Consider the following 26,698-nt stretch of genomic DNA (forward strand, 5'->3'; position numbering starts at 1 on the left):
TGGGACTACAGGCACCCGCCACCACGCCCGGCTAATTTTTTGTATTTTTAGTAGAGACGGGGTTTCACTGTGTTAGCCAGGATGGTCTCGATCTCCTGACCTCGTGATCCACCCGCCTCGGCTTCCCAAAGTGCTGGGATTACAGGCATGAGCCACCGCGCCTGGCTGACTTACTTTTACAAGAGATTGAAATTGCTTAAAGTAGCACGTGTAATAAAATAAAATAACTCTTTCGAAGGAAGCAAAATGATTTAATTAAAAACTGCTAATAATTATGTTTCTATACATCTTATGACTGCCTGTCAGCCTCATCTCAGTTAAGAATTCTGTTGGTTAATAAACTCATACTTAGCTTGAATAGAATCCAAGGATTGTAATGTTTACATCTTCCATTTAGAAAATTTCTCATATTCACTTCATTGTTTTCAAACTTCATAGTACTGAATTTTTGTGTAAACCAAAATGTAATGTTCTTTCTATAGACAAAGAAAATATGTTTAAGAAAATTTGTTGGCCGGGAGCGGTGGCTCAAGCCTGTAATCCCAGCACTTTGGGAGGCCGAGGCGGGTGGATCATGAGGTCAGGAGATCGAGACCATCCTGGCTAACACGGTGAAACCCCGTCTCTACTAAAAATACAAAAAAAAAAAAAAAAATTAGCCGGGCTTGGTGGTGGGCGCCTGTAGTCCCAGCTACTCCGGAGGCTGAGGCAAGAGAATGGCGTGAACCTGGGAGGAGGAGCTTACAGTGAGCCTAGATCGCGCCACTGCACTCCAGCCTGGGCGACAGGGCAAGACTCCATCTCAAAAAAAAAAAAAAAGGAAAATTTGTTTTGAGTCCTGCAAGCAGCAGGACAGAAATAAAAATAATAAAATAAATAAGTGAGATGTAGTCAAAGGAAACTGAAAACCTCACCCATCTGAAAATAAATATCTGAACTTTAGTTGTTGGTTAATTTTACTTTTTAATAAGTACAAAATGTAGTAGACAGCTATAAATAAAGCCAAGCCCTTGGTTTTCCATTCCAGTAAAATTTACTACAATCATGGATATTGCCTTCACCTTTACCAACATGATACAACTCCTACCAATCTCCCTTGGTCTTTTTCCTTACCAACAGTTTGCAACCCCAAAATGAAACCTGTAAATGGAGAAAAACAATTAGCATGCCCTGTTTTAGTGTGACCTTGGTAGGAGTGAAGGGTTTTTTTGTTTATTTGGAATAAGCTCAAGATTATGTAGCAAAAGAAATGCAAATCATTTTTGTGTATAAATCATTTGAAAAAGTAGCCCCCCAAAAGTAATTGTGTAGCATTAAATGTATTTTACTCTCCCAGTTGTTTGAGAAAAACAGCAAACTGCAACTTAAGAGATGTTTGCTCATTTATTTATTTAGTCCTGTAGACCCTTGGGATGTAAAGTTGCTGTGTCTTCTTACTGGGAGCAGAATCTGCCAGGAGGAAATTCACAGAAGGGTGCTGGTGCTGCCTAATTTATAAACCCAAAGAAGTGTCATGGAAATTGCTGAGTTTTTAAGGATATTTGGCAAGTTTTATTTGTTTCATTAGTTGTTGTTTTATTCTATTTTAATAGGAGATAGAAATATTAGTGTAGAATGACAATAGAAACATGTGGAGACAATGAAGAAGTAGTATTAGGAAAAGGAAGCAAATGCAAATAGGACATTCTCTGCAGATCCAGAAATTCAAACTCTAATTGAGTTTTGAAGAAGTAAAATTATACAAAGCTTGTGGAGTTGCTAAGGACTTAGGTTATACCCAAATAACTAAGGTATAAGAAACCCTGTAATCAATTTATCAAATCACTTTATAGAGCTGTTAAAGAAAATGAATACATTTGTATTAATGTTTTATTGTGTACTCTGATAGGACTAGGATTATGTAAATTTTAAGAAGAGGCCCATCTATTCATGGGGGTATTATAGTGTACTTGGAATTATGTGTAGTGGTTTTGGAGATGAGAGAATTTCTGAACAGTACACTGCTATTGAATATTATTCAACACTACTAATCTATCAAAAGTTGCCAGAATTAAAGGGACTAGCTCCTTCCACTTAAAGGTTTGGTTCATGATTTGGTGGTTTCAGCCAGTGACTGGTAACTACTTTAAATTGAACTACACGTTTAGTGCATCCTGGGAAACCAGGAGATAGAGGCTGCAAGGCAGTATGAGGCAACTTCTGTCTTACACTAGCTGATTAAAAGACAAAAGGTCTGATTTGAATAGCTTTAGCTCCTATAATTCTACAATACCTACAAAATTTTAGCTGAGAGCCATTTTTTATCCTTCATTATTGAGATGTGAAATAACCTATGCTAGAGTGGCAGTTTCATCTAACATTTTCACTGCCCAGAATGATTGGGCAGTGTTCTACAGTAATTATTTTCGTCAAGGAAAGTCAATTATTTGAAGGATCTCATTAAAGAATTGCTACTTAATAGTATTATCTCAAAGTACCAAGCCCATGTTAATTGAGTATTGTTATAGGGCAGATAAAATCAGAGAAAATTAATATGTGTGCAGATTATTGCAAAAGATTGGTTTGTTTAAATTCTGTTATATACAGAATGCCCTAGATTGCTTAGTAGGAAGCTAGTTCAGTTTCAGTTTAGCAGATACTCTTAGAGTAGGAAAGTGGATAAACACATTCATTTATACAATGAGTTTTTCAAAATTTAGAGGTGCCATGGAAAATTGCTGAAACTCAGGCCTCTTTGCAAAGACTTGTGTTTGCAGATATTCCACTATATTCAGGATTATGTACTACCTGGAGGTATATCTTTAAAATTTAGTTAAATTTGAAGGGGTTCAGAAAAGCATTATCAATAAATTTGGGAAAAAGCAGATTCTAAATTGACACATAATAATTTTATTATTTTTTTCATATCACAGTAAAATGTGTTGGATACATTATAGCCAAACAAGTTATAACCAATATTCAGAAAAATATGACTTTTCTATTTACTAACACTACCAGTGAATGTAAGGAAATAAATAATATTTAGGGGCTAGGGTTATTGAAGGCACTATGTCAACAAATTCCCCAGAATTAAAAAAAAAAAAAGAGGAAAAAAGAATGAATGAAAAGAACCTCTTACAAAGTTAATGCTGGAAAACCAAAACCATGTGAGAGTGGATGAGAGTTCAGCTCTAAGAAGATTATTCTGCATCGCCACACCCCCCAACACACACACACACACACACACACACACACACACCTACATATTAACATACATTATTAGGGAAAGGGTTATCATGTTATCATGAACCTTCAAGAAGCATCATTGTACTCACTTTTGTTGATTCTAGTATGCATTTCTATTAAATTCTGACACTTTATCTGGGTTTGGGGTATAGTATATCTCGGTAGGGAAAATAAATCACAATTTCTCACAGATATCTGGTTGTAAAATTCTATGCAGTGTTTGTCAGTGTCCTTAAATGCTATCCATGGGAAAAATTCAAACAGAAATGGCTAATTCAAACAGAAAATGAGTTTTCGTTATATTCCTATACTATGTGAAGTTATTTTCATGCAGTCTATATTTAGAACTGAAGGAAAACTAAATATTCTCTTTGTTCAGTGCAATTGCTACCACAAGTCTATGTTTATCCAGATATTAAGAGGAAGTGGAAAAAGTACATAGAATTGGATAAGGGTGGAGTGATAAGGGTCCAGAAGTAAATCCCTTCACAGAGGAGCTCGGTATCAGTTGTGGCCCAGATGTTGTAAGAAACGCTGAGCTTAGCAACTTCACAGACAATATAGAGAAAACTGACAGCCCTAGTTTTCTCACTAATGTCACTGTGTGCTTCATTTTACTTTGTGATGAGGGAGCTTCATTAATCAAAATTTCCTGCATCAATGTAGATGTCCTCAGATGTAGATTTGATAGATAACCTCTTTAATAGTGAGAATGGATATATCAAATACAGCACATTTCTTTTGGCACCAAGCCATAAGCAAAATCAATGGTATTGGCTCATTGATGTCTCTGAGCACATAAAACTAGCGATGGTTTTAGTATGTTTGGAAGTTAAGCTAGAGGTCATTAACAAAAAAAAAATAGCTGGTATGAAGATGACAGCATCTGTGTTTTCCAAAGAGAGATTTTTGTGCTTTCTTTCATTTTTGTCAGAACCATTATAAAACTACCCTTTAAAAAAGTCTATAACTCTGCCCTTGTACTTCATCTAAGCCATTCTCTAACTCCACATAAGATATCCTGCCTTCTTCATCGCAATGAGCAGTTAATGCTCCATGTCTAATTGGACAACTACACTGTCAAATTTGCTTCCACTCAGATGTATAGCATCAAAAACTACAATTGGTGAGGTTCACAATTTTGATTTTGATCACTAATTCTGTGTCAGGAAAGGCAATTTTTTTTTGCAGTAATTCTGATGCATGCACTACTCCCTTTTATTGCAGTGGGGTGTGTCTTTGCAGGAATATGTAGATCCAAGATCAGGGCCAACAGCATTTCCTTTTGGCATGTTTTCTAAGAAAAGATGGATCTTTTTCTTATTGAATAAATATTTAGATACTTGCCATGAATGCAATAATTGTCAAAAAACAAAAGAATATAGATATGTTCCTTTCTATGACTCTTGCTGGGGGTAGTAAATTTAAAAGATGGAATCCTCGGTCTTACAAACCTGAAACTCCTTCCAGAAGCATTTCACAGTATGCCTGACTTATATTAGTAACCTATGACAGGATGCCTAGCTATTTCAAAGGCACAGCTTTGACTAAAATACTATCTTAATGTAAGCATTTTAAAATGTTAAATCCCTACCACATGCAAAGCACTGTGCTTAATATTTTAAAAGTCGATTAGTATTATCCCAATATTACAGATGAAGAAAGCATAACATAAGTAACTGGTAGACCCAAATTAATATTTAGATTCATATGATACCAAATACTCTACTTTTTTGTCTATAAACTCCTACCTCCCTCTATGTGTATTTTTGTCTCTATCTAGACATCAAACATAGTGTCCTGCCTTAGTTAGTAGATATCCTGTGTACTCTCCACTAGAAACTTTCTTTTAACAAGGAGATGAGCTGTTTAGGTTCAGCAGAAAGTGCCATAATGGATGCCATGAGGATGAAGAAAAGAGCCTTCGTGTAAAGTTACACTATGTGCATTTGGTGTTTTTTTTTTAATCAAGTACAGAGAATTTCAGAACAGTATGCATCAACACAGTGATATGTATGATTTTATATGTGTTTAATTACTCTTGTCATAAATTCTGGGTTTTGTTTTTGTTTTCTGTTTTCTGAGATGGAGTCTCACTCTGTCGCCCAGGCTAGAGTGCAGTGGCATGATCTTAGCTCACTGCAACCTCTGCCTCCCAGGTTAAAGCAATTCTCCTGCCTCAGCCTCCCAAGTAGCTGGGACTACAGGCACGTGCCACCACACCTGGCTAAATTTTTTATTCTTATTTTTAGTAGAGACGGGGTTTCACCGTGTTAGCCAGCATGATCTCAATCTCCTGACCTCGTGATCCACCCGCCTCGGCAAATTCTGTATTTTTAATCATATAATATCTCATCCTGGAATGCCTGAGATTGTCGCTGGATTTAGTTTAACTCCCTTTCTTTCTGAGCCATATCATTCTGTTCCAAAGAATTCAACCCAAGTTCAATACTAGCATTCCGCAAGTAACCCAAAATGTGGAGTAAGATATGATATATTATATTATTTTATATTATGTATGTCATATCACATCACATTATGTCATGTCATATCATATTATTATTCTTTTCAATGTCATGATTTTAATACTGTCTTAAATAAGGATGCAGATTTAACTTGTTGCATATTTTTAGATCTCAACAGTTTTATACTGTAAGGTATTATGTCAGGTAATGAAGTGCCTGAGATTGCTGCTATAGGTGCTTTATATTGGAGTTACTACTTTCTGAATTTAAAAATGAGAGAACATTATGACTTCATTAGAAGAAAATAGCATTATTTCTTAATTATTTGATAGATTTTTCTTTATTTCCAGTTTTGTTCAATTATGTTTCAGTTAATCTCATTATACATAGAGATGTTTGTGTCCTTCGATTGCATTTAGACTTACAGAATTACAGTAATACAAGTTCTTAACATTCATAGAAAATATGCCAAGTTTTCTAAACCTTTTCTTATACATACACCCACATCTTTCTTATTTGAGTCTTTGTGCATAAACTACAATAACAGACTGTATGTTCACGTCTCTCCCTAGTTCAAAAGAAAACATCAGGCACAGAAGGCAGCATATGACTGAGTCCTTCTGGCTCTTACAGGCTTCAGATACACTTTTACAAGTGCCCTCCATAATAAATGTGAACTTCAAGCTTCATACAGGTATTGATTTAACCTCCAGAGACATATCAAAGTAAATATAATTTAACCATTGTCCAACATGTTATCCTCTTTTCCAAGCAGGTGTGTTTTTTGTTAATGTCAATGTTTTTGCAGAATTGCTTTTCAGAAAACAGTTTTTCTCTGTTCTCTGAAGCAAAGAAAAAATAAAAATTTTATAAATTTTTTAATCCAAAAAATGTCACTCCAATCAGTCAATGCCCAACTCTTATGTTCTTATATTCATGAACCAGCTGTCTTTATTTCATCAATTATAATTTATATCTGGCTTTGGTGATTGTTAATCCATGCTGTCATAATCAAGGCCACTGTAGACAGAGGAACTTATACTATCACTAAGAGCTTTGGGATTTTATTTTTTTTCTTTTATTTGTTATGAAATGACACATATAGGGCATTTTGATTCTACAAAAACATCTTGTAGATAAACGCTTATTGCTACTCAGACATTATCAGCATTTAACAGAAATGAATTCTTGACATAGTGCTTTGAAGTAATTAGCCAATTCAGTAATCTGCAGAAGCAGAAAATAAATGAGTACCTAAGGGTGAGTGGCCAACATTTGAGATACTAAGCATTTCTCTTTTGAAATGCACAATCTATATTTAATATGGGAAATAAACTAAAATTAATCACTGCCAATACAACTGTTAGGAAAGACAAGAACTCATTAAAAAGTAGAGAATTGTATCCTTGTATAAAACCTTCATGGTTAGTATAATTCCTATAGATAACCATAAAGACATACCGATGGGAGTAACCATTTTAAATAATTCTTATTAAACACTTCAAATATTAACCAATAAACACAAAATTACTATAGCATGCCTGATTGTTCTTACTCTTTTTGAAATGTGCAAAGAGAGAAAACAGGGTTTTCTCTGTGCTCATGATTATTGACATTCTTTTTGGAGTACACAAGAAGAGAACACGAATATGAAGAGGCAAGAGGGTTTAAGAAATAACCTAGTGCAAAAATGATTTAAACGTAAGTAAAGGAAAATTAGTCTGTTGGATCATGGGTAGTAAAGTTTCATCATATAAAGAAGACTCAGAGAGACTAGTGTCATGGCAACAAAGAAAAGCATTTCATAAGAGAATGTTATTATCAAAATTCTAAGTGATCGAAGCAAATAAAGAATGAAATGTGAACTTTGGATATAAACTTTGGAGATTAGCTGGGTTGTACATATAGCACTGAGAGCAGAAAAGAATTGGAATTTAGAGAGTCACATTTTTTTTTTCTATATGTCAGGCATGATCAAAAGAAGTGGGGCATTACCTAGAAAGGATTAAGAGTAAATGATAATATTTATTCTTGATGATGTTGCTGTTGTTGCCTGGGTTGTTAAATATGAAAGACACTTTGGCATAAGGCCTCTACATTGTAAGTTCTTTATAAATGTTATTGAATTGATGTTTACAACCTCACAGGCAGCTACAGGACAGGGCATTTTGAAATATTTCAATGGAGAAATGAGAAATGGTGAGAGGTGAAGCCAGCTGGACTTCCTGGGTCGAGTGGGGACTTCCAGACTTTTCTGTCTAGCTAGAGGATTGTAAATGCAGCAGTCAGCACTCTGTAAAAACACACCAATCAGTGCTCTGTGTCTAGCTAAAGGATTGTAAACTCAACAATCAGCACTCTGTAAAATGAACCAATCAGCACTCTGTGAAATGGACCAATCAGCACTCTGTAAAATGGACCAATCAGCAGGATGTGGGCAGGGCCAAATAAGGGAATAAAAGCTGGCCACCAGAGCCAGGAGTGGCAACCCACTCCGGTCCCCTTCCACGCTGTGGAAGCTTTGTTCTTTCACTCTTCACAGTACATTTTGCTCCCTCTTTGGATCTGTACTACCTTTATGAGCTGTAACACTCACTGTGAAGGTATGCAGCTTCACTCCTGAAGTCAGACCACGAACCCACCCAGGGGGGGAACAAACAACTTCAGACATGCCACCTTTAAGAGCTGTAACACTCACTGTGAAGGTCTGTGGTTTCATTCCTGAAGTCAGCAAGACCATGAACACACCCAAAGGAAGGAACTCTGGACACATCTGAACGTCTGAAGGAACAAACTCCAGACACACCATCTCTAAGAACTGTAACACTCACCACGAGGATCCACAGCTTCATTCTTGAAGTCAGCGAGACAAAGAACCCACCGGAAGGAACCAATTCTGGGCACAATGGTACAGAAAATTCCTAGAATAGCAAGAAAAGAATTCATTGAGATAACATCAAAAGTTGAGGGAAATGCAAGTAGTTTGAGAGGAATGTAATACATCTATCATGAGGGTTATAGATAGAATTCCAAGAGTAATACCATGTAAAATAAGGGGGTATATATCTGTCATAAGAGGTTTTAATTTTGGAAGAGATTTGTAGAACAAAATGAGGCAAAGTCCAGAGGAAACTTGTTTTCTTAATTTGTTTGGATGGAAGTGAATTAAATACTTTTTGTTTGTTTAAGGGGACGTACCCAGGAGAATAGGAAACTTACAAAATTGTTGGAAATGTGATTCTAGTGCCCATTATGTCACACTCTTGTGTTGTTTCTCTGAGAGTTGCACTAAGAAAGTTCAAATACCTGTTGGCTTCCATAGACTAAATTCGGGCTGATAACGAGAAGTAAGTTCGTGAACACATTCTACTTTCTATTTCGTTTTGTGCTAAGGTTTTTACAGAAAGCTTATGTGCTTCTACATATTTTAAAGGACATTTAGTAAATGAGATATAAAGAGATTGTTGTCTCAGTTCAGAGGGGTTGCCATGGAAAGAAGCATAGTTATTTTGCATTTGCAAAGGCAAGTTGCAGGAATTAATATGTATAGTTGGATAGTTGGATATGGGTAGAAATTTTGGCCTGACAAACTAATATGTCTTGCAGTTGAAGTAATTTTGTGACATTATTTCTAACTTTTACTTTTAAATTAAACTAATTTTGTGCTATAGAGAGGTTAGAAGGAGTGCTACAAGCAATATGATCATATATATGTATGAATTTTGCATTACACAGAGGTTCCTGACCAAGGGGAGTAAAGGAGATGGAATGAAGCTTGTGTGCTGTACTTCAAGTCATGCATCCAGTACCATTTTCCTGCACATAAAGCGCTATCTATTCATTAAGATTTCTAGTTGCAGAGCTGGATCCATCCATAAAAAGAACCATTTTTCTAATTTATAGAAAGATGTCTCATGGCCTAGAAACAGGCCTTGAGCAAGAGCAAGCCCTGCCTTTCTCATATAGAATATGTACTGTTTTCTTATATATAGCCTCTTTCTTTAAATTTGATAAGATAATTATTATGAATCAATTTTATTACTTTGTTAAATATTATATTGTGCTTAAATTATATAATACGATTTTTAAATGAATAAATTTTAAATATATTTTAATAGATAAAGTAATATGAAAGTATAAAGTATCAACAAAAGACAAAATAATAAGAGAAAAAGTTAAAAACTGAACTAGAACATTACTAGGAAGTATTAGGTATATGAATATATAAGAAGAAAAGAGTCAATGTTTACTACATTATTGATAGTCATGTTTACACGTTTTAAAAAATCAGATAAGTACACTGAAAATATATCCACTTTTTACCTCTCAATTAAAAAAATTAGATCTGTTAAAGGGAGTTTTAAAATGAATGAAATGACACATACAGACAAATGATGCAAAGTCTGTAACATTTCCCGGCAACAGTGAGCAAGAGGTGTCTAGAGATGAAATACACTTACTCTCTTCTATTTCTTCCCATATTATCAAAACTAGGCCCTTGGCACTTGAGATCCTCATGTTAGAGGTGCCCAGCAAAGAAGCCTTTATGCCCTATCTTTTCTTCTTGTGCATTTCCAAGTTGCATCTGTGCATTTAGAATGGTAAGGAATTGCTCTTAGGGGTGTGGTGGAGAGGAGCTAATTAAATATTTCCAGGATGTGTGAGGTGATCAGCCTCCTAGCCCAAGAACTTTCTAAAGCTAATACTTAGGCTAAAATACAATGCAAATTTAGTGCCTTATCATTTTTAAGATGCCTTCAATAAACTATTTTAAAAAGGCAATATTGTGATTTTAAGGTATCTTTTAAATATTCTAAAATAACTTATCTCCACATAGTTTAGCCCTCAGAGAGTAGTGTCACGACATCGAAAATGTGTGTCGAAAAAGTTAAATTGACAAAGCTATCTGTCATGCAGAGTCAAAAAGCTGAGGAGAAAATATTTCTAGGTATTCATGGTATTAAATGGAAGCTATTAGCTTGAGTAGAATTTTAGTTGTTTTGAAAAATCAATTCCTTGCATGCTTTTTTAATTGATGAAAATCATTTTGTACACCTACTCAATAAAGCAAATTACTAATAATTATAAATAATTTAATTAATATTATTTATATGTATATTTGCATAATAACTTTTAAAATGCTAAAAGAGAAATATTTTGTTTAGAACTATATTACTCTTATGAGACTCAAAAACTGAAATTCAGCCCTGGCTTATTATTTCATCAACAATAAATATCTACCCTTATCTCTGCAATTTTCATAAGATTATCTGTGCAATTCTTTTTAATTACAATGTTCATCCATTGCTACGTGGCTACTTTACTTCTAATTAGCTTTATTTGAAAAAGCCAATTACATACCATTCAGTTTCTTTCATTCACTATTTAATCACGACAGATTCTCAGGAAGCCAAGAGACAGATACTCTATAATAAAAATAGCAAAAACAATAAAGTTCATGCCTTGAGAGTATATTTGTTTTTTCAGTATGTTGTTAGATCTATGTATTATTTTGTTATTTTTAATTTTTAAGATACTTTGTAGGCCGGGCACGGTGGCTCATGCCTGTAATCCCAGCACTTTGGGAGGCCGAGACGGGCGGATCACGAGGTCAGGAGATCGAGACCATCCTGGCTAACACGGTGAAACCCCATCTCTACTAAAAATATAAAAAATTAGCCGGGCGTGTTGGCGGGCACCTGTAGTCCCAGCTACTCGGGAGGCTGAGGCAGGAGAATGGCGTGGACCCGGGAGGTGGAGCTTGCAGTGAGCTGAGATCGCGCCACTGCACTCCAGCCTAAGGGACAGAGCAAGACTCCGTCTCCAAAAAAAGATACTTTGTAAATGTTTTTGCACATATTGTACATAATATAATGTATTCCATATGGCTGTCTGTTAACATTTATTTTGTTGCATTGAAAAATTAAAGCAATAAGATATTATTAGTGTTGTACAGATAATAAAAAAAATACATCAACCATCATCATAATAGTCATCAACAATAGCACATTGAGCTTCTAAAATTACACGGTGTCCTGCTGGCTTTCAATAAACCAAATTATATAGCCTGGTCCTCGGCACTCTGTAAAATGTGATCACTGACAAATGCGTGCCCTTTTAAACCTACCAACAAACGTGAAAATAAACCAACTTTTAGAACACAAATAAATACTAATAATTATCACCAGTTAAAAAATATTTGAGTACATTAGAATTATTCATTACTCCAGAATTGAAAACAACTGAAGTCAAAAGCCTTTGCCATGCCATCTTTATGAACTTCTTAATTAACTTTATGAATTCCTCAATTAATTTTACTGCTCATTTTGGGATAAAGAGGGCAAAAAGATTGCATAAACGATAGAAAGTGCTGTACATTTCTTTTCCATTCAGTTAAAGTGGTGTCTGATTATCAAATAAAACCTGCACCTCACAAATCTCTCAAGAAATCTTTTTTTCCACGTATCTCTTGCAATTGAAAGAACAAAAGCCATGCTCACACATTCTCCTGCATGAGGAATAACTGGTTTATTTGGCTTGTCAGGGCCTTTGAAAGAAGCTGAGTGCTTAGGAAGGTAAATAATGAACATATGTTGCAAACCTAAAGTGTCTTGATAAGTGGATGCTTTTGTTGACTAATGCTGTTTCAAATGTGAAGTTGGGTATTCAAAACTCATGAAATAGTCCAGCAATGTTGACTTAAGGAGATAAGGTATATATTCTGCTAACATTAACAGCAGACTTCATTTATTAAGATTTAGTGAGCTATAACTAGTGTAAAAAAATGAACATTCATGTTATATATTTATTTCAACTCTTTCAAGTCAAAGAAGCTAGGTAATGTGTAGATTAAAAAATATGTTTTCAGCTCACGTGCCCATGGGGCAACAGAGAACTAAGTAAATTTACCCACTCTTCTACCTAATCTTTAACATATGCTATTGCTTGGAAAATGAAGTCCTGTAAGAGGACGTTGTCTAAACAAAAAATGGCATTTAAAAATGTAGTAAAAATCCCTACCTTGAGAAATTTAAGGAAAAATTAATCAAATACATATATATATATTAACCTAGCTCATGTCTTGTACATTATAGATACTCAAAAACTAGTAATCTTCTTGCTTTTTCATATTCTTTTCACAAGCCAACTAGTTCAATTACATTAGTAATAATCAAGTAACTTATAATTCAGAAAAAAGCAGAATACTGTTAGAAATAATCTGTGTATCATTGCATTATTGCACAAAAGTCCATTTCCTTAAAAACATAATTCCTAATTAATGTATTTGAGTTTTTACTATTTTCTAATATAGAGCACTATAACTCACATTTTTCAAATAAAATTCATGTAAATTGAATAGAATTTTACAGAGGAAGTTAAATGGTATGTATTTTTATGTTAACAGAGAAGTGTGTTCCCAATTGGTACCTAATTTGAAATATCCTTTGTCCAATAAAAATAATAATGTCCCCTCTATCATTTTATTCAGATGCAAAGTAATAAAAGCAAAACATCAATAGCAGGCAGTAAAACAAAAATTAGCGCCAAGAAAATAGAAAGAGAAGATAGCCACAAGTTATAGGTAAGTAGAAAATTGTATTGGAGGAAAGCAAACTTCCTGAGGAGCTTCATCAATGAAGACTTTGTGGAGAAAGTAAGCTTTGACTTGATATTATGCAAAGATTAGGAATCTTCGTTGGTTTTTAGCAAGCATCTAATCTAAGGAAGTGACACAAATGAGAATGCTCTAGGATAAATGCAGCACAAGGTTTACTGAAGAATATCAGTTGAATAAGAATGAGCAAAAGGAGGACAGACAAGAATACAAAAGATGCCATTGCCTAAGTGTTCTTAAATAACTAAAGTGAAGAAATGTGGGAGTTTACATGATAATTTTATTCAGGTGCTTTCAACATTTTTGTATTGTTATCCATAAAAGATTCATAGTTGTCATTATATTATGATTTGCCATTTTTCTTTTATTTTTTATTTTATTCTATATTGGCAAATTATAATTGTTTATGAAGTACAAAGTGATGCTATGATATATGTATACAATGTAAAATTAACATATCCTAATGAACATATCCTTCACCTCAAATACTTATAGTTTACTCTTCTTGTCTAAAAAACATTATTTATAAATAGTCATTCTGGGCATTATTAAACAAGGATGCTTTTAGTGCCTGGATCATGGTTCTCAGAACAAGGGTATGTAACCCTAATGAAAGGAACCCACATAGTGAGCTAAAAGTCTATAGATTATGGGAGATACAATTATGAATGCTATATAAATTATCTTCTTGGACAACGGACTGAAAACATAAAACCAGGAAGAACGCATATTGATGATACCTCGTGTAGATATTTCACATAAGAAATGTCATTTGTTTCCAATCTAGTAGAACATAGCTTGGCTATGTCTTAAGTGGACTCACAGATGGTCTTCTTTACCTTAGAGAATGTGCTACATTTCAGGGTCAGTCCTTCATCAGGCAGGCTCAGCACACGTTATTGTTAGTTTTAAAAATCAGATTGTTTCAGAACCAGATACATGAAAGTAAAAAGACAGACACATAAAAGCAGCACATCAATATTAATATGTAATAAACCCAAATAAATTGAATTGTATTTCTGTCACCATTACCAGATGACCTGTGCTGACATCCCTAGTACATTCTTACTCTGTATACTGTTTTACTTTGGGATCTAAGTTGTTTAACATAGAATTAGTCCAATGAAACCTTTTTAACATAAGCATAGCCTTTCCTTCCTAAATATGTGATATGCCCTTTACCTTTGTAGGTTTCCATTCCTGCCCATGCCCTCTTGAACACTGGCATTAATATTTGCAGTGTTACAATAAAGTCGGACAGGCACAGGATCTCTTTCCGGTTAGCTTACACAACTTTAGGTAATGGCATATCTTTTGAATGTTAGCCATAATGTTTTCATTTGTTTCCATTCTTTCTTTATTCTTTGGAAGGAGGCTCACGTCAAATACCAAAAACAGCTGAAAAAAAGCAGACAGGGAATCATGTGTGTTCATACTACATACCATCCGAATCATTAGGAAAATCAATTAAAATTTCATAAATCATTTTAACAAATATGTATTATTTCTAATGTGATAGGCAACATGATTGTAACTACAATTAGAATGAGCATGGTACAGCTTCTGTCTTCAAGGAGGTTATTGGTTAAAGGATACTCCTTAGTTTCCTTTAAGTTCGCCTAATTCTCAATTGCCTCATTCATATAATTGCCATTTTGCCATATTGACCACTTATTGTCATATTTAACAATGATAAATTTTCATTTACTTTTTTGATAACTTATAGGCCTAGGAACATAGATTACACATAAGAGTCTTTTAATTGTTGCAATGTTGTAATGAGATTCTTAAACTTAATTATTACATAATATGTTTAAAGGAATCAATATTAAATCAGGGATAAATGTAATTTAATTATAATTGCATGAAATAAATGTTTATATTATTTGTTTTTATTATTAGGAAGATGTGTGAGGGATATTTATAATATGTGTTCATGCAATTTTAAGTTATTTTTATTAAGAAAGCAATAACTCTCTGTTAAATATATCAATGTTCAATTATATTTTAAAAACAGGCTGGGCGCGGTGTTGCATTTCTGCAATCCCAGCACTTTTGGGGGCTGAGGCAGGGAGATCACCTGAGTTAAAGAGTTTGAGACTAGCCTGGCAAACATGGTGAAATATCATCTCTACTAAAAATACAAAAATTAGCCGGGCATTGTGGAACATGCCTGTAATCCCAGCTACTTGGGAGGCTGAGGCAGGATAATTGCTTGAACCCAGGAGGCAGAGGTTGCAGTGAGCTGAGATGGTGCCACTGTATTCTAGCCTGGGTGACAGAGCAAGATTCTGTTTCAAAAAGAAGAACAAAACAAAACAAAAACAAACAAAAATCCACAAAGAAATTCTACCCATTTTTGCTTAGAGCATCCTCATTTTATATCAGCATTTTTGTATGCTGCAAAATATCATGCAACATGTTGTATTACTAGTGTCATTTTATACTGTCAAATCTATAAAAGGCTTTTTGTAACTATTTCTATTGCTCTACAATATCTACCAAAATATAGCTTTTAATTTGTGTTATTTGATTAATATAATTTAAAAAATACCTATAGTATATTAAAGATTCTTTTTGACTTCTGGACCACATTGGTGAACAATAAACCAAGTGCAAAAATGTACCGGTCTAATCAAAAAAAGGAATAGACAATTTCAATCTGATAACTATCCTGAGCACTAGCACACAGATTCCTAAAGTGACATATAGGAATGAGAACTAACTCAATCCAGAAAGTTCTTTTAAAATGTTATAGAAATATGTGACTGAGCACAGTGGCTTACACCTGTAATTCCATCATTTTGGGAGGCCAAGGCACACAGATCACTTGAGGAGAAAAAATTAGCTGGGTATAGTGGCACAGGTTTTTAATCTCAGCTACTAGGGAGGCTGAGCCACAAGAATCACTCAAACCCAGGAGGCAGAGGTTGCAGTGATCAAGATTCTGTCCCACCTGCCTCCTCCCCAAAAAAAGCCAGGCAAGGAAAAAGCAAAACTCCCCCAGGTAGATAAAAGCACCAAAATCGAGAGATAAGAGTTATGTGAATATTCTGTAGAATTATGAGATACTTATTTTATATACTTGTTATTTTAACCTATATTCTTAATCTCTATCACTTGACAAAATGCCTAGTTCTTAAAATATTTTAACCAATGATCATGGATCAAAAATTTGTCAAAAGAATAAAAATAAGATAGATGTAGTTTTTGCATTTTACATATTGAATGACATTAGATTTGATACACTATGCACTGATATCCTAAAACTTTCTCTGATTATTCAATATGTAAGTAAAATATTTAAGCTGTGGAATTGTTTTCAGATAGTATATTTTGTGAATTTCCTAAGCGCTTCCTATTTACACATAATGTATGGGGTAATTTTAATATTCTATTACATTTTGCTACAGTTCATAAAGTAAATAGACCTTTTATCTTTTTTCTTTTGCCCATCAATGGAAAAAGCCTCGGTAGATTTTCAACATATTTGGGTAATACGTTTTAATTGATCTCAGAACCATCTATGACAGACCCACAGCCAACATCATACTGAATGGGGAAAAGCTGGAAGCATTCTTCTTGAAAACCAGTACAAGACAAGGATGCCATCTCTCACCACTCCTATTTAACATAGTATTAGAAGTCTTGGCCAGAACAATTAGGCAAGAGAAAGAAAGAAAGGATGTCCAGATAGTAAGAGAGGAAGTCAAACTATCCCTGTTTGCAGATGACATGATTCTATATCTAGAAAACACCATAGTCTGAGCCCAAAAGCTTCTTAAGCTGATAAACAACTTCAGCAAGTCTCAGAATACAAAAATTGCTAGCATTCCTATACAGCAACAACAACCAAGCCGAGAGCCAAATCAGGAATTCAATCTCATTCACAATTGCCCAAAAAGAATAAAATATTTAGGAATACAGCTAACCAGGAGGGTGAAGTATCTCTACAATGAGAACTGTAAAACACTGCTTAAGGAAATCAGAGATGACACAAACAAATTTTAAAAAAATTCTTTGCTCCTGGATAGAAAGATATCCTATACATATCATTAAAATGGTCATACTACCTAAAGCAGTTTATAGACTCAATGCTATTCCTATCAAACTACCAATGATATTCTTCATAGTACCAGAAAAAAAAAAAACTATTTTAAAATTCATATAGAATAAAAAAAGAGCCCAAATAGCCAAGACAATCTTAAGAAAAAAGAACAAAACTGGCGGCATCTTGTTACCCAACTTCAAACTATATCACAGGGCTACACTAACTAAAACAGCATGGTACTAGGACAAAAACAGACACATAGACAAATGGAACAGAATAGAGGCCTAGAAATAAGTCCACACACCTACAACCATCTGATCTTCCACAAAGCTGACAAATACAAGAAACGGGGAAAAGACTCCCTATTCAATAAGCAGTGTTGGGTTAACTGGCTAGCTACATGCAGAAGATTACAACTGAAGCCATTTCTTACACCATGTACAAAAATCAACACAAGATGGATTTAATACTTAAATGTAAAACCCAAAACTATAAAAATGCTAGAAGACAACCTATGTAGTATCATTCAGGACACAGAAACAGGCAAAGAGTTATGACAAAGACACCAAAGAGCAATTGCAAAAAAAAAGCAAAAAATTGACAAATGGGATCTAATTAAACTTAAGAGCTTCTGCACAGCAAATGAAACTATCAACAGAGTAAACAGACAACGTACTGTATGGGAGAAAATATTTGCAGCTATGCATCTGACAAAGTTCTAATATAGCATCTATAAGGAACTTAAATTTACAAATAACAAAAGAAAACACATTAAAAAGTGGGCAGAGGAAATGAACAGACACTTCTGTAAAGAAGACATACATCGGCCAAAAATCATATGAAAAGAAGCTGAATATCACTTATTATTAGAGAAATGCAAATCAAAACCACAATGAGATACCATCTCACACCTGTCAGAATGGCTAATAGTAAAAATTCAAAAAATAACATATGCTGGCAAGTGGCAATGTTGTGGAGAAAAGAGAACAAGTATACACTGTTGGTGGGCGTGTAAATTAGGTCATCCATTGTGGAAGACAGTGTGGCGATTCCTCAAAGTGCTAAAAACAGAACTACCATTCAACCCAGCCATCTTATTACTGGGTTTATACCCAGAGGAATATAAATCATTTCACCATAAAGACACATGTATATGTATGTTCACTGCAGCACTGTTCACAATAGCAAACACATAGAATCAATCTCAATGCCCATCAGTGACAGATTGGATGAAGAAAATGTGATACATTTGCACCATGGTATACTATGCAGCCATAAAAAATGAGATTGTGTCTTTTCTGGGAACATGGATGGAATTGGAGGCCCTTATTTTTAGCAAACTAATACAGAAACAGAAAACAAATAGTGCATGTTCTCACTTATGAGTGGAAGCTAAATCATGACAGCTCATGAACACAAAGAAGGGAACAACAGATACTGGGGCCTCCTTGAGGGTGGAGGTGGGAGGAGGGAGAGGAACAGGAAAAATAGCTATTGAGTACTAAGCTTAGTACCTGGGTGACGAAATAATCTGTACATCAAGCCTCCTTGACATGAGTTTACCTACATACAACAAACCTGGACATGTACCCCCAAATCTAAAATAAGAGTTAAAAAATATAAAAACTAAAATGAAAAAATGATCTTATTTAAACATACGTTTTAACGTATATGGAAAATTTATTTTGGGTGCTCCATGTGGCAGCTCAAAGGTAGAGGCAGTCATCCTACTCAATTGCTAAAAAATGATTTACAGGAAAAGACTTGTGTCAGATGACCAGGAAATTTACCCATATGTATTAACATTTTGTGAACAGAGAAAATCAACATGGGTTTTGTAACATGAACCCCAAATCAAAAGATACAAGGGCAAATTCCTCTAGATTTCAGATATTGATGAATTTTTATAGTTGTTTCTCAAATAGGCAACTTTACTACAGCAATTTCCAAGTTTCCTAGTAATAGGGAATTATATATTTATCTGTGGTTGATTATTCCCTATAGGCAATCCTAGAGGATGGTTTCTAGCTACTTTGTTAAAGAGAGAAAAAATTAAAATTATTTGTTCTTTTGGAGAAAAATAAAAATGTTACAAATTGGATTAAATTGAAACCAATTTGTAAATAATTAATGGTGTAAAAAGCTGCTAAATGTTATGTTCAAATGAAACATTCATAGAACTTCAACCATCTGCTTTGTATTAGGTATTAAGAAAAGACAAAAACTAAAGATAATATCTACAGTGTAAATGCTGTTTATTTTGTAATTGAGATCAATTGTGATTCAAATTTCTCTTAGGAAAAAAATCTGTAATTTGATGAGCATTCACTCCATTTTTTAAAAATTTATCTTTGAGAATACACTGCACATAAGTGAAAATTTTCCTCTAGTTCATTGACATATATATCAAGTAGAACATTGGCATGGATGAACAAAACCACAAATAAGAGGCCCAGCTTGACGGAAGCTGCTAAAATAATGATTTTACTTGGAAGATGTGGCCTGCATGCTGTTTTGAATTAGGTGCCAGGGACACTACATGGCAGGATAGTTTTCATTTTAGATGTTAGTTATTTCTTTAGTCATGAAGTGGCATTTGTACTGTAACAGAATTTGTGATGAATTTGTATCCCAAAAATTTACATCTCCGGGGGAATGCTGCAATTTGCTAGTTGTTAGACATTAGATAAAGCATAGCACATTTTGATTCTGTCTTCACCTGTGTAAAGTGGCATACTCATACCTACTATGTTAAAAAGCTACTAAAATAATTCAATAAAATAATTATAGAAAGGCGTGAAGGAAATGCAAAATGCTATCTGCTAGCATCTCAAATTATGTTCTTGCTTGCTCTTCTCCAATTAACTGGACGCCTCACTGTTCTTTGAATATCTCAGGCTATGTACAGCAGGGCTTTAAGCACTTGTTTTTCTTCTGCTTCAAATCAAAACTCCTCATCCAGATATTTACTCCAAAGTCATTTTCTCAATGTTGCATTTTTTGGTCACGCTACCTAAGATTGCAACCCACATGTGTGACACCCCACCCTCCTTCATACACATTCCCTGTCCACATTTCACGTTTCAATTTTACTTTTAGAATTTGCTATTCTTTAATACACTAAATATTCTATTTATTCATCTTCACTCTCCCCAGTTGGAAAGTAAGCATCGTGAAAGTAGTAAATTTTGTGTGCTTGTTGATGGTCACATACCACTGTCTACAGCAGTGCCAGTTAGGTGGTAAAATCTAGGTATTTCATTCAGAAATGAATGAATGCTATAAGGGTGGTAAATTTTCCTGTTATTAACAGTGGGGAAAAAAGAAATTCAAATATGTAAAACAAGGATCTACTCCTTTTTGTTTTTATATGTTTATAAGGAAAAAGTGGAGGACATTAATTAATGAAGGAAAGCAGAGATAATTTTAGTAGCCAAGTGAGAATGACAAATTTTATTTTTGTCATGCTGTCCTCACTATTGCTAGCAGCTTCCTAGAGCACTCAACTGAAGAAATTCATCATCCTGGTTCAGACAAAATGACTTTATTCAATTAAAATACCCGCCTTGGGTCTGGGGGTCAAATAAGTGAGAATTTTGTGTCACACATTTGGCATTCCCACAAGTAAAGAATTTCAGAAAATTTTAGCAGTAGACATTTGGCAATATCTTGACAGTGATTACTCGATTTAACATAATCCATCCAGGTCATTCAAGAGCTAGTCTCTTAGGGTCTTTAACCCAGTGTCAATTCCAATATCCCTTTGGAGAAAGATCTCTCCTAACCCACTGCTCACATCAAAGCCTTTTAGGGCCCCTAGAGTTTCCATAGGACAGTGTAAAAAAGATATTTAATCAATAACACAGCTTATTAAACAAAAATTAGTTGACCTAATGAAGATTGTGTATTCTCAGAATGCACATAGAGTTTGGGAACACTTAAGGAGTTTATGCAGTTAGATGTTGTGAAATAGAGACAATACCCAGGGCAAGAATTAGCTTTCTATAGAGTTAGACATTTGTTTATGGAATTTTGTTTATTTTAAAAATGAAGGCTTGACAAACTGAGGGAAACTATTTGTAAAAGATATATCTGATAAAGGTCTGTTATCCAAAATATACAAAAACTCTCAAAACTCAATAAGAAGAAAGGAACAACCTGATATTTTAAAAAATAGACAAAAGATCTAAACAGATATCTCACCAAAGAAAGTCCAAGTTGACAAATAAACATATACAATATCATACATCATTAGGGAAATGCAAATTAAAACAATATTAAGATATCACTACATACCCATTATAATGGCCCAAATTTCAAACTCTGAAAACACCAAATGATGGCGAGCAGGTGAAACAATAGGAACTCTCATTCATTGCTGTTGGGAACAAAAAATGGTACAGCCATTTTGGAAGACATTTTGGTAATTTCTTGCAAAACTAAATATACTTTTACCGTGCAAACCAGCAATCATGCTACTTGATATTTACTCATATGACTTGAAATTGTATGTGCACACAAACACTGCACAATGGTGTTTATAGCAGCTTTTTCCTAATTGTCAAAATTTGTAAGCAGCTAAGATCCTTCAAAGAGTGAATGGATAAATAAGCTGCAGTACACCCAGACAATGTACTATTCAGGGCTAAATAGACATGAGCCATGAAGTCACGAAAAGACATGGAGGAACCTTTGTAAAATGTGCTGTACAAAATGGCGTTACGCAGGTTCCGAGTTCTGAAGTAGATTTCAGAAGCCATTCTAAGAAGGATTACCTGCATGGCTTGTAACCTTGCAAAAAAGAAAAACAAAACAAACAAACAAAAAAAAAAACAGAAGTTTGCCTTGAAACTTTGAACTGGGCCAAACTGCAACAACCATAGCATCCTGAAAAACAACTGAATGTCACCAACACTGGAACTCTTGAATAGCAACAATCAAGGAACTATGGACTCATGTACTAAGCCAGGTTCTTCCACCAGTGATAATTCTTTCAAAACAACTTGTGTAATTACCCTCAGTGTACTGTTAAAATTTCCTACTCCCCTCTGTCTCTTCGGAACACAATTTGATCTTTGGACAAATATGTGCCTCCAGAATTACAATTTCAAAGACCGCAATAAATGCCTGTCTTATTGCATTGCAGTCTGGTTTTCCACCTCTTCTTAGTTCACACTTAAATGCATGATAGTAATTGAAAAAAGCCAATCTGAAATGGCTATACATTGCACTATATCATTCAAACAATATGACAATCAGTAAAAGGCAAAACTATAGAGACAGCAAAAAAAAACTCAGTGGTTATGAGGCAGAAATTGTTAAATCAGTGGAGCAGAGAGGATGTTCAAATCAATGAAACTACCCTATATGATGCTATAATGGTGAATGCATGTCATTATACATTTGTCTAAGCCTATGGAATGTACACCACCATAAGTTAACCCTATTGTAAACTATGGACTTTGGGTGATAATGATGTGTCAATATAGGTTAATTGATTCTAACAAGCATGCCACTTTGGTGCAGGATGTTGACAGTGGGGCAGGCTGTGCATATGTGGGAATAGGAGATGTATGGAAACTATACCCTCTACCTCATTTGTCTGTGAACCTAAAACTGCTCTTAAAAATGAAGTCTGTTTTTAAAAAACCATCTAGGCCCAGTTTCAAGTACCTTTGTTAGGGTTATTATGTCTAGAGGAAAAATTGGCCTAGCAACTGTTTTTCATCCAGTTTTAAATTCACAGAGAGACTTGTATTATTTCATTTAGACCTCATGACCTCATTAATTCAGATCTGTTCATTTCAAATGCATGGTATTCAACTAGACTAAAGAATACTTTTGTAGTTCTACCCATCCCCCACCCAAAGTAAGGGTTTTCTAGGGAAGAAAAATTTGAAGAGAGAACGCTTATTATGCTCAAAATATTCATCTGTTTTCAATTATTTTAAGCACTTTAAGCAATTCATTTACACATGAATGGCTGAAATGGTAGAATACAAAACTCTTATCTGTATAAAAATGCCAGGCTGCATTTTTTTTATTTGAAAATATTTGTTTGTCATAAAGCAATATAAATGCTTGGCTTGTAAAATCATCTCTAAATTCAACTAACTCCTTAAATGTTTCTAATTCCTGTCTCTTACAATTTTTCAAAATATATTTTGATATTGAGTTTACTTGTATAGAATGCTCATTGCGGAGATGATTACTTTTTATTTATAAGGTACTCCTAACTTTTGTCTTAATTAGTTTTAGATTATATATAGTCAACCAATAAGAAAAATGTTTAATAAATTAGATTTTCAGATCTGTAAGTGCATTCTATAATGCTAAAATTCAACTTTTGTTCATAAAAATCAGGGAGAAGGTAAAACCAAAATAGATACTTATTAAACAATAAACAAGTTTAACCATAATATAAATAATGCATCCTGTGTGTTCATTTTGGGTGATTTCTCTGCATGAAATATCTTAAAGTACAAATCCAGTGAGCTTGGAATTATAACTTGTATTTTTCTGTATGGTTGTCCCTTAAATAAGCATTTATGTCATTTACTGTATTGGATTTTTTTTCAAAGACTTGTTTAAAAACTCAAAAATTGTCTTATCTGACCCAATATAAATTTTTGTTCAAAATTAACTGAAATATCTGTAAATGGTTAATATGGTAGGATAAACAGATTATTTCTCTTCAGTGAGTTTTTAATCCTTATTTCACCTAATTTAAATATTTATTACAAATCTGCCTCTTCCAACTTTTCAGCTAACTTTTCTGAAAAACAGCTTAATATTTTCTCCATTGTAGTTTCTCTCTCTCTCTCTGTATGTCAGTCCCTTTTTCTGTAACATATTATTTTAGTTCCACTTGTCTCATGTTACATTTGAATTAAAAGTTTCTATTTTTAGTAGCAGGAATTTAATTGACCTCTACTGACTACATTTTATGTAGGTATCAGCCCATAATTGAAAGGTTGAATATATGAGTTTGGTTATTTTTATCCAGATACAGTTAAAGCAATAAAAGTGAAGTCAGTTAGCATTCACCAAAGTTCTAAGAAATACATTAATTTCTTTTATTAAACAAAATATTATTTGTTAACGCAATTGCTTTCACTTATGACATAGATGATTACTAGCAAAGAAAAAGATTATGTGGGTGTCCCTTGATGAAACATGATTAAGTCTATAGTCAGCAAAAATTCAAATTTCAATTTTCCACATCCTAGTTGCCTGACATTGGCAAGATACTTAGCCTTTTTAAAATATATATTTTAAAGGTTTAGAATATTGTGGATTGCATGTGATGATATGCATAGCTGCCTTCGCACACTATCTTCGCACACTATAAAATATGTACTCGATAAATTTCCTAAGATTCAAATCAATGAAAAGGATGCAGTAGATAAGCAAGAACTTCTTTTTACCAAATTTGTTCAGTTATTTTCAACCATCTGAAACACAGCTTGACCTGGGTTTACACATAGTCTATATTCTAAAATATGTCCTTACCTTTCTGGAACTCATTGATGTGGATATTGTATATCCTGATATTATCTAAAAATTAATAATAAAGCAAAAATATTACTAAACCCTGAAATACCCTTGATGATAGTCCACATTGGACTTTAGGGATTTTATTCATGAAGGAATATTTTTAACTCATATAAGTTCCTGATTTTACATTAGATACAATGACCATAAGCATATAAGAAGAGAATGCCTGTATATAGGGAGTTATAGGAAATTGCTGTAAAAAGTAGAAGTAATATTAAAACAAAACAGAACAGAACAAGTGAAACACTAACTTATGAAAAACAAGCAGTATTCTGTGACCAAGGTATGCAGGGAATATTTAATGCAGGACTATTGAAAGTTTGTATAGAAGAATGGACTCTGATGGCATCACCAAATAATTACACAGCACCTCAATTAATAAAAATAGGAAAACAACTACCTTACTTACAGACATAAGAACATTTATGAAACCATCCATTCAAATTTTAGTCAACATTTTTTAAGAAATACACTGTATGTAGTTGTTCATGTATTTTATCAGAGAGGTAACTAGTGTTAAGAAAATTTTATTGTGTAGAAATTTTCAATCTGTTTAGAGTATCAAATGTTTAATATTTTTGTGTATTTACAAATGTGTTTACAAATATATTTTATATTTGTCTGGCTGTTTAAATTATGCTTTTGATAAAGCTTCAGTGCTGCTATAATGTCTAAGGCTCATCCTACTGTGTGAAAATATGAAATTTCTCTCTCATCTGTAATAGAAAAATGAATGTGTGATCCTCCTTAGAACAGGATCCATAAAATGTCTGCTGGCAAAAGAAACTCAGAAAGATAAACATAAACCTTAACTTTAGACAAACAGTTGAAAGCCTCTCAATCTGCTTTGTTTTGTCAGCAACTTCTAGCGGTCATGCTAAGAATTAAAAACATGCATATTGCTCAGCAAAATCCACATGAATATTAGACGTGTGTGTGTGTGTGTGTGTGTGTGTGTGTGTGTATGTGAGTATGAGTAATGGAATTTTAAGAGTACAGCATTCTGGAAAGTATGTAGCAGATATAAACTGAGGCCAAATTTTATATACATATATATATATATATATATATATATATATATATATATATATATGGCATACATTATGTATTAATCTGTTCTCATACTGCCAAAAAGAACTGCCCAAGACTAGGTAATTTAGAAAGGAAAAAGCTTTAATTGACTCACAGTTCTACATGGCTAGGGAGGCCTCAGGAAAATTATAATCATAGTAAAAGGCAAAGGGGAAGCAAGGAACCTTCTTCACAAGATGGCAGGAGGGAGAAGTGCCAAGCAAAGGGGGAAGAGACCCCCCTTAAGCCACAAGATCTTCTGAGAACTCACTCGCTATCTCAAGAACAGCATGTGGGAAACCGCCCCCATGATTCAATTACCTTCACCTTGTCTCTCCCTTGACACATGGAGATTATGGGGATTTGGGGGATTACAATTCAAGATGAGATTTGGGTGGAGACACAAAGCCTAACCATATCACATTGGTACTCAATCTTTCAATTAAGTAAAAAACCAAAAAAAGCAAATTTAAAGTTATTACATGTATTTTTGATGTCTAAATATATAATATCAGATTTTTTGTTTTTATCCCTAAATGTGTAAGGATTTAAGGATCAAGCCGACTTTAGTGAGATCATGCTAATTCTTTTAAGTGTTATTACACCAAGGTGGAATTTCTAAGTGACGCCTGTCTTGATTCTCCTAGGCAAAATATTTAATTACTGATCTATGCAATTACAGCTATCCTTATGATCTTTCATTATAGCATTTAC

At 34.0% G+C, this 26,698-nt stretch overlaps 2 long non-coding RNA genes and 1 pseudogene across 5 annotated transcripts, besides 2 other annotated features; 1 reads left to right on the top strand and 2 right to left on the bottom strand.

Annotated features, from left to right (window-relative positions):
- HSPA8P2 (heat shock protein family A (Hsp70) member 8 pseudogene 2) lies at positions 3,684-4,517 on the bottom strand (annotated as a pseudogene).
- LINC00353 (long intergenic non-protein coding RNA 353) lies at positions 6,115-21,734 on the bottom strand. The gene is made up of 4 exons (NR_046991.1): positions 21,653-21,734; positions 11,052-11,116; positions 8,522-8,611; positions 6,115-6,532 (listed from the first exon to the last, which is right to left on the bottom strand). It is a non-coding gene; the product is annotated as a long intergenic non-protein coding RNA 353 (long non-coding RNA).
- Positions 8,029-9,228: an enhancer, noted in NCBI's record as "BRD4-independent group 4 enhancer chr13:90202962-90204161 (GRCh37/hg19 assembly coordinates)". NCBI's record gives its function as "activates an origin of replication core promoter dependent on BRD2, P300/CBP, MED14 and CDK7 cofactors, and independent of BRD4, by STARR-seq in HCT116 cells {active_cell/tissue: HCT116}" and the evidence as "EXISTENCE:reporter gene assay evidence [ECO:0000049][PMID:35650434]".
- LINC02336 (long intergenic non-protein coding RNA 2336) lies at positions 8,106-16,894 on the top strand. 4 transcript variants are annotated; one of them, XR_931635.2, is made up of 7 exons: positions 8,106-8,293; positions 8,418-8,598; positions 8,880-9,037; positions 9,426-10,291; positions 13,180-13,272; positions 14,496-14,604; positions 16,774-16,894. It is a non-coding gene; the product is annotated as a long intergenic non-protein coding RNA 2336 (long non-coding RNA). The 4 variants fall into 4 exon arrangements; XR_931634.2 differs by having other exon boundaries at positions 13,180-14,604; XR_007063933.1 differs by lacking the exons at positions 13,180-13,272; positions 14,496-14,604; positions 16,774-16,894 and having other exon boundaries at positions 9,426-10,945.
- Positions 8,336-8,630: a silencer, noted in NCBI's record as "tiled region #6759; HepG2 Repressive non-DNase unmatched - State 24:Quies". NCBI's record gives its function as "represses a minimal TATA promoter and a strong SV40 promoter by Sharpr-MPRA in HepG2 cells {active_cell/tissue: HepG2}" and the evidence as "EXISTENCE:reporter gene assay evidence [ECO:0000049][PMID:27701403]".
- Positions 21,735-26,698: the final 4,964 nt, after the last annotated feature.

Source organism: Homo sapiens, chromosome 13 (genome assembly GCF_000001405.40).
Source record: "Homo sapiens chromosome 13, GRCh38.p14 Primary Assembly".
NCBI lineage: Eukaryota > Metazoa > Chordata > Mammalia > Primates > Hominidae > Homo > Homo sapiens.